At 37.3% G+C, this 7833-nt stretch overlaps 1 protein-coding gene across 57 annotated transcripts in view; it reads left to right on the top strand.

Moving 5' to 3' along the window:
- The first annotated feature begins 3779 nt into the window (after positions 1-3779).
- ABI3BP (ABI family member 3 binding protein) overlaps positions 3780-7833 on the top strand; it is a 244266-nt gene continuing 240212 nt past the window's right edge. For all 57 annotated transcript variants that reach the window (XM_006713572.4, NM_001377332.1, XM_047447926.1 and 54 more), the window contains exon 1: positions 3780-3895. In XM_006713572.4, the coding sequence (XP_006713635.1) occupies positions 3796-3895 (100 nt within the window). In that variant the 5' untranslated portion in view covers positions 3780-3795. The remainder of the gene's footprint in view (positions 3896-7833) is intronic.

Raw genomic sequence — 7833 nt, 5'->3', positions numbered from 1 at the left:
GTTGACTTCCAAGATTTGAAAGATGTATGAGTTTTAATAGAAGTCTCATTTGAAATAATGAAATTAACGTTGAGCCCTTAAAAAAATCAAGCATGAATTGGCCAGGCGTGGTGGCGGGTGCCTGTAGTCCCAGCTACTCGGGAGGCTGAGGCAGGAGAATGGCGTGAACCTGCGAGGCAAAGCTTGCAGTGAGCCGAGATCACGCCACTGCACTCCAGCCTGGGCGACAGAGCGAGACTCTGTCTCAAAAAAAAAAAAAAAAAAAATCAAACATGACATGACTGAAAACTATGACACTTATTTGAGCAGTGGTCTAGATGTCTTCTAATCTCGTGGATTTCACTGACTTCCCCAAGGAGAAAGTATTCTTAAAAAAATGCCATACAATCATTGTACCAAAATTCTATCAGTCTACGGTTGCATAGAAAAGGAAAAAGAACAGGTTCCCAGATGCCCACTTTATAGCTTGTGACACATGTTTTTTGACACAACTTCTGTGTGTGGGGTTTGTTTGTTTTACCTCACCTTGCTCCAGAAACAAATTAAAACAACTTACAAAATCACATAAATTAAGACTCCAAGTAAAATAAGCAAGAAATAAGGGTGGGGACGAAAAATAAAGCCAAGAATGATGTCAAAGAATGCACATCACAAAGACCTATACACTTAATATGGGTGGGGGATGTATTTGGCTCTAATTTTCTACCAGTCAACACAGAAAGAGAAACCTGGTTACAATGTCAAAAAATAAATACAGTTGCTCTGGAAAAATAGCCACAACTTTTCATATTTGACACAGCAGTCAGACGTTTTCTCCAGGGTTGTTATTTTTTAGGAGGTACTATATGATGTAGTAAGCAATGTCTAGCAACACTCTTACTATGTACAATAGGGGGTTTCATGGCTGATTCTTATAATAGACTTCAGTGTAGGTATTACACAAAATGCACTATACTAAAGCATGATTTAATAAAATATTTTAACGCGGGCCAATACTATTTTCAAGAACTGTGAAAGATCTGAGATTTTTATCCTATCTGCAAGCTAACATGCAGTTCATAGAGGCTGGCAGGAGACACAAAACACCTGGGTCAAAGACAAAGGAAAGGACAGTTTATTACAGCAATAGCAGTAGCCTGAATATCAGCATTTGCACTAGTTCTAGGAGCCCAAATTCTCACAGGACAACACAAAGAGGTACAGGTGATATGTACACATGCCATGGGTTGTTTTACAGAAGAGGAATGACAAGCTTAGAGAACTTAAATATTTTATAATGGGAAGTGATCATGTATTCACATTGCCCCAGAGGGAGATGTTACCTTTATTATATGGAACAGAACACAAATTTCTATCTTCCAAGGATATTTTATGTGCAAATATTCTTTACAAGATATTCTGGAACATAGGGAGTTAGTGCCTCTGCTCATAGGATGTGCGGAAACATTAGTTACCCTTGCAAAATTATCTCCCAACAACTGCACATTCTAGGTCATACTCAAGTGTTCTCTGACATAATCTAGAACTAACCCTTAGGTTATTGGGAGGAATTGATGAATTCTGTTTCATTTGACACTTACTCATCATGTACTTATTGTATTCTTATATTCTAGGCACTAGAGACAGTAGCAAAAGAGGCACAGTTGCTTTCTGTAGTGTTACTCCTCCCTAGTCTGAGGAGAGCCCTAATACTTTCAACATCCTCACTGAATGTTCAAGTGTCCTACTAGCTAAGATAATGCAACCATTTTTTATTTCTGACACAATAATTAGAGATTGTGCTTCATTTAATTAGCCTACAGTCAGTTGCAAAACTGCAAATAATGATTGCTAAGGTGGATTTGACTTTGCCTGCTGGCCATGCAGAGGCCAATTCCTGAATTCCTGCTGGCCAAGCAGAGGTCAATTCCTAACTCTTGCACCAGCCCCTCATAAATGTTTTGAAGAACCAGCCTTCTTTACAATATTTCTGCTGGGTTTGTTCCCCTCAGAAAACCTGTCATTTCCTGCTAACACAGTGGTCTCACTGGCTTAATGTGATGGCAATGACATATAGGAGCAGAACCAGCAGTGCCAGCTGGATAAATGTCCTAACCCCGATTGAGGGAACTGCTTATTCAAGTAAAAAATCAGAGATGAAAAAGACCTGTTAAATAAGCCAGTGCCTCCTGTAGTCACTGCCAGAGCATTCCTATGGTGAGAGCTTAGACCCAGCCAACTCTAAATGACTTTAACAAGGTGCCTTCTCACACTTTATTTGGAAGACGGGGCTGTCTCTTCCATTTTTTCTTCTTTTTTCTTTTTGATAAGTTTTCTAACTAGAATTTCATTTGACCAGTGTTATTTAATTTTTCTCTTACTGTTTTTGGTTCAGCTACAGCACCCCAATGAGGTAAGCGATTTTCAAAGAGTCAGTATAAATATACCAACAAGGTTTAAAGTGCTTTATTAACCCAGCCATTCCACCCATGCGTCTATATATTTTGACCAAAGTGATGTAGGGGGAAAGGATACACATGTGGACTTCAGAGGTAAATATGCCCAGGTTAGAATTATAGTTCTACTTAACTGGGGGCTTATCATTTTCATTATTATTGTTTCCAGTGACTGCCATTTAGTAAATGTTTCCTGTGTGTCAGGCTCTATGGCAACTACTTTCGAAAAACTGCTAGCAAATGTAAGAAATTGATACTGTCATCTTTATTTTAGAATCTAAAATGTAGTAATTAAGACTGGAAGCACTATAGTTAAATGGGCTGCTTAAAATGCCAACACTGTGACCTTGGACTTTCACTTGACCTCTCTGTGCCCAGTTTATCTATCTGTAAAATGGGGATGATGACAATGCCTGCCTCATAGACCGTTTTGAGGAATAAATGTCTTAACATGTGTAAACTGATTCGATCAGTGCCTAACACGGAGCAAGCATTTAAATGTCATCAATATTGATAATATAGAGATGAAGTTTGCTCAAGGACAATTCATTAGTAAGTGGCATCCGTTATTAAGCAGTAGAATATACTAGCATTGTCAGGACACTTAACCTTTTTTCCTCAGCTTTTCTTAATGGCAAAATGGGGATAATGCCATATCTCCTGCAGAGGCACTGGGAAGATTAAAATACAGTAAAGTAGGTAAAGACTCGATTACAGAACTCAGTCCACAGTTGAGGCTCACATAGTAATAGTGCTCTCTCTACGTCTCTACATCTACATCTGTTGAATATATGTGTATACACATATATATTATAACGTAATGTATAGCTTTGTAGCCAAAGACTTACTCTTAAATGTTTCTCATAATACAGGAACTACAGAATGGCTCAAAATATATCTTTATGAGTTTACTCCCATTTAAAAGAATTGGGTTGGTTTACTGGATAATTAAAAAGTTTCCTTCTTAATAAGGTTTTATTTTATATTTTTAACATTTTGATAGCTTTTAGTACATTGTTTCTGGATTCTTTAAAATAGTTTATCAAATGTTTCAAAACTGCCTAAATACTTCTTCTTTCACAAATACAGATCTGCCATAATTTGAATTTTTATATCACAGAAGGAAGAGACACAGTTACAACTTAGCAGAAAGAAAGAAATGTGATGATATGTTTTTGCTGTTGTGCTTTTTTTTTTTTTTTTTTGGTGTGTGTGGGAAAGGGTGTGATGTCATCTTGTCTCCACCCCCTGTGAGTAAGCCCACGGCACAGCTAAGTGCAGCCGCCCGCCTCTGTCACTGGGAGACAGTCCACTTAAATGCAGCTCCAGGGTTGCGAGGCACCCACCAGCATCATTCCCCATGCGAGGTGGCAAATGCAACATGCTCTCCAGTTTGGGGTGTCTACTTCTCTGTGGAAGTATTACACTAGCCCTGGGAAATGCACAGAAATTGCCAAAAGGCAAGTAGCCTGATGTTTTATGTTTTAAAAATAATATTAAGATATAGATGTTTTTAAATGTTGATTTTAAATATGATCTGCTTTACCATACGGGGGGAATAGAGTTATTCTGCAGAGATTCAAAGTTCAAATGTGTGAAGGGGTCTCTTAAACTTTTACTTTCCCCTCCTGTTATTTACTTTTCAATTACAGCTCTTTATTGCAAAAATGAAAACAAACTTATTACATTGAGCAGCTGTTCATCAGAGCTTGAACTGTATACTTTCTAACTATAGTGCTTGTGTATTGAATCATATTGTGTAAATGGATATTATAGTCTGTTAGAAAGAGTTGTTTGGTGTTTTTATCCTCCTCCCCAGAGACTGAATCAGTACTAGCTTAAGATTCAAAAGAAGCTGGTTCTGAAACCTTGAATCTTTGGTGTGAACCTCAAACATACCTGTTGACCAGGAAGCTGAGGGAGTCTAGGCAGGTCAGACCAAAGTACGGTCATGTGCTGATTTGCAGACACGTCCCTCCAGTGGAGTTTGGAAGAGGGCTTGAGCTGTTGGACAGGACACTCCCCCCTTTCTTGGCTAAATTGCTCTCATTTTAGTGTTGGTATTTTGTTTACAAATGTTATCAGAAGAAAATTAAAATTTCTAAATTTTGACCCTAAAAACAACCCTTTGAGCCCATCAGAAACCAAAACAAGAGGCTGTTGCCTCTCTCCTGTCTCTGAACATAAATGTTGCATGTACTTTTGTTTCTCTGCAGAGGCACTTCTCTAAGCCAACTCTAGGTCTGTGAAGGCTTTTTATGGTTGCAGACTGCTGTAGTCAGCAGGATTGTGAAAAACAGGCTGGAATTTACCATACAGTCATGATGGAAAACATCAGAAGTAATGCAGAGCTGCAGGCTTGTCAAGAACCTGGTGTGCCTAAAGTCAGAAAGAAAGGTTGCTAGTGTCAGAATATCCAAAAGATCATCCCTAGGTCCTCTCTCTGGGTAGTCTGCCCCAGGATCATCTTGTCCCAAGTGAAAACTGTTCTTTCCTCGGTGGGTAAAGTGAAACTTGAATCCAGCATGTGAAGGCTGAAGCGGTTGGCTAGTTGATATTTCACACGATAATGTGAACAGCAATAAAAAAGACTAAGTAAACTTTCTCAACTCTGATCAAATAATTAAAGAAAAATAAAAAACAAGCACTCTTAGATCTTTTTCTACCAAGAGTTTTGCTCCTTGATCACAATAAAACTGTGATTTAAATAAATCAATTATGAGCCACAAGCATTCAGAGTTAATTGTACCTACTAATGGAATATTTAACAGTAACATATCATTTGAGAAGAGTCTGGGGGTTTTCTCAGTCTTAATACCTACAGAAGACTTTTATTTTACTTTTTATTCATTGCATAGGGATGATATAGGTGCAACTTTGTTACTGCAAACTTCTGGACAATCCCAGTGCTTTAATTATCGTGTTGCAATCACTAGACACAAATCTCTTGACACAATTTTTCTTTATTTATAATGGGAAAGAAAAAAAAACATAGTTGTCGAAAATGGCCACAAAACTTTTGTTGTTTATTTAAAAAATATTTGTAGTTTTGGTAATTTGGAAAAAAACATCAAATTATAATAATGATAAAAGAAATGGCAAGTCTTGTTTTTAATATTATGTTTTTTCTTTATTGGAAAGCTATTGAGGACCTTTTAGCTGAAGTCATCTTTTTCAAACTGTGCTCCAGGCATAGGTGCACTGTTTGTCCTACAATGGGTAGAGTTTGGGGTGAGGGTGGAAGGGCAGCTGATTCCTGTCAATAACTTGTGGAGTCTTTAAGGGGGGAATCACAATAAGTGTTAGCAGTTTGCACATTCTCAATAAAGAAACCTGTACAACTTTTTGTTTCTCACACTCATTTGACTAAGAATCCTCTTTTCCATAGAAGATCTATAATATCTTAACAGGGGTTTGTCTGTCACAGGACACATTTGGGGAAATGTTGAGTTAAAAAAGAAGAAAAAAGAGTAAAAGTTTTTACTTTTGTTCTTCCTTCTACTTTAGAGTTGGTTAAATACTATTTGTGACTTAAGAAGTGGTTAGAATTCTGGAGCTAGAAAAGATATTCATGATCACTTAGTCTAGTGATTCCCAGACCTTTGGATTTATGGACCAACAAAAATACACAAATATTTTAACATCAGGGTCCTGTTATAGAGAGCATACTTGAATTTTGCTATGTGAGGATGCTCAAAGGGAACAGGGGAGAATGTCTAGTGTTCATAAAAGTAAACAATTTTAACAGATTTATACAATAAATAAATTTAATTTCATAAATAAGTCCATTGTTATTTTTCTCATTTTCCCACAGACTAATGAAAAATTGATCACAGGCCAATATTTGGAAACCACTGACCTAACATAACCATTTATTTTACAAATGAAGATACCCCAAAGCAGGGCAGATTCAGTAACTTTCCCATGTTAATGGTGGAGCCAGGACTTGATACCTAGCTTCTCATTCAAAATCCATGTTCTAACCTGCCTCCTGCCAGATAGGCAGGTTCCTCTGACCCCAGCCTTAGGAATGACATTCTGTAGTGTACATGTGAATGCTACCTATTCCTTGAATAAAAGAGTTTCTTGTAAATTTCTTTAACAGTATTTTAATTTTAACTTTTCTTCCTAAGAACATATCTACATTTTTATGTACATATTTTATATATATATTATATATACAAAATTATATATATATAACCATATATAGTTATTTATAAGAAGTCAGTTGTTATATGTGGTGTGCCTATTTGCATACCTAGTCACATACTTTGTTATAAAAAGTAAGTTATTAGAAGATTTTTGCTTAGTTTTTAAAAGCTTGGAGACTATTAATGGAGCTTTTCTCCTCCCCACCACTAAATGACTATAGTTTTGTCAAATTATTTATTTTTGTTAGCCTCAGTTTTCTCATTGGTAAAATGGGACTAATGATAACTATCTCATAGTATTTTAGGATTAAATGAGATAAGAGACACAAGTCTGGCACATAACAGATTTTCAATAAATCCTTATTGGGTCATAGAAAAGGGGATCAATGTTGAAAAACATGCACACCGAATAACACATGATCTTGTATTCAAAATGTAAGACAAATCTCTTGTAAGGTAGGAGATGAGGTGGTGTGAACTTGGCAGAAAGATGGGGTAAAGGACTGCAGTGTTGTTCTACGTGGCAACAAGGGAGGCTTCTACCGCATTCTAGCCTGACCATTGTCTGCCCATATGGCCAACATTACCCTGTGGAAAGCTGCACCTTTGCTCTAAGATCAGCTTTTCCACAGGGATTTGTAAGATGTCATAGACTCTTCAGGTGAGCTCCTGTTAAGCTTGTTTCTCAGGAGGTGAATTAGACCATACTAGAGAAGAATTTTCACATTGTTTTATACCTTTGGAAGCCCCTGTGCTCCAGCTACCTCTCAGAATCTTTATTCTTGGCACCATTGGCCTTTTTTCTTTTCCTGGCAAACAGGCTAAAATAAAAACCAGTGAGAACAATATGTAATGAAAGGAGCCAACAAAATCTTATAGTGGGAGAGCAGGCCCTTGACACACCTCTGCATGGAAACTCCAGTATACAGAAGATTGTAATTAGCCCAAAGGCAATGGCTATTATTTTTAAGCAAGTGTGAGAAAAACCACAGAGGAACCTCCAAGATACAAGTGTAATCTGATGGCCAGAGGGCATGAGGATCTTGGGTGTGACTCTTGGGATATGGCAGAGGGAAGAGGCAGCTGGCTCTTTGCTTTGGGTTCTTACCTAACAGAGTAGAAATCTCTGACTTTAGGAACAAAACACAGAGCAGATGATAATCATAACAGTAACTGCCATAGCTATTAATAACTATTACCATTATTATTATCACAGGTAACATTCTTTGAGTATATCCTGCATGTGG

The sequence above is a fragment of the Homo sapiens genome, chromosome 3, assembly GCF_000001405.40.
Source record: "Homo sapiens chromosome 3, GRCh38.p14 Primary Assembly".
NCBI lineage: Eukaryota > Metazoa > Chordata > Mammalia > Primates > Hominidae > Homo > Homo sapiens.
Note: the sequence above shows the minus strand (reverse complement) of the source record. Positions and strands in the feature narration are given on the sequence as shown.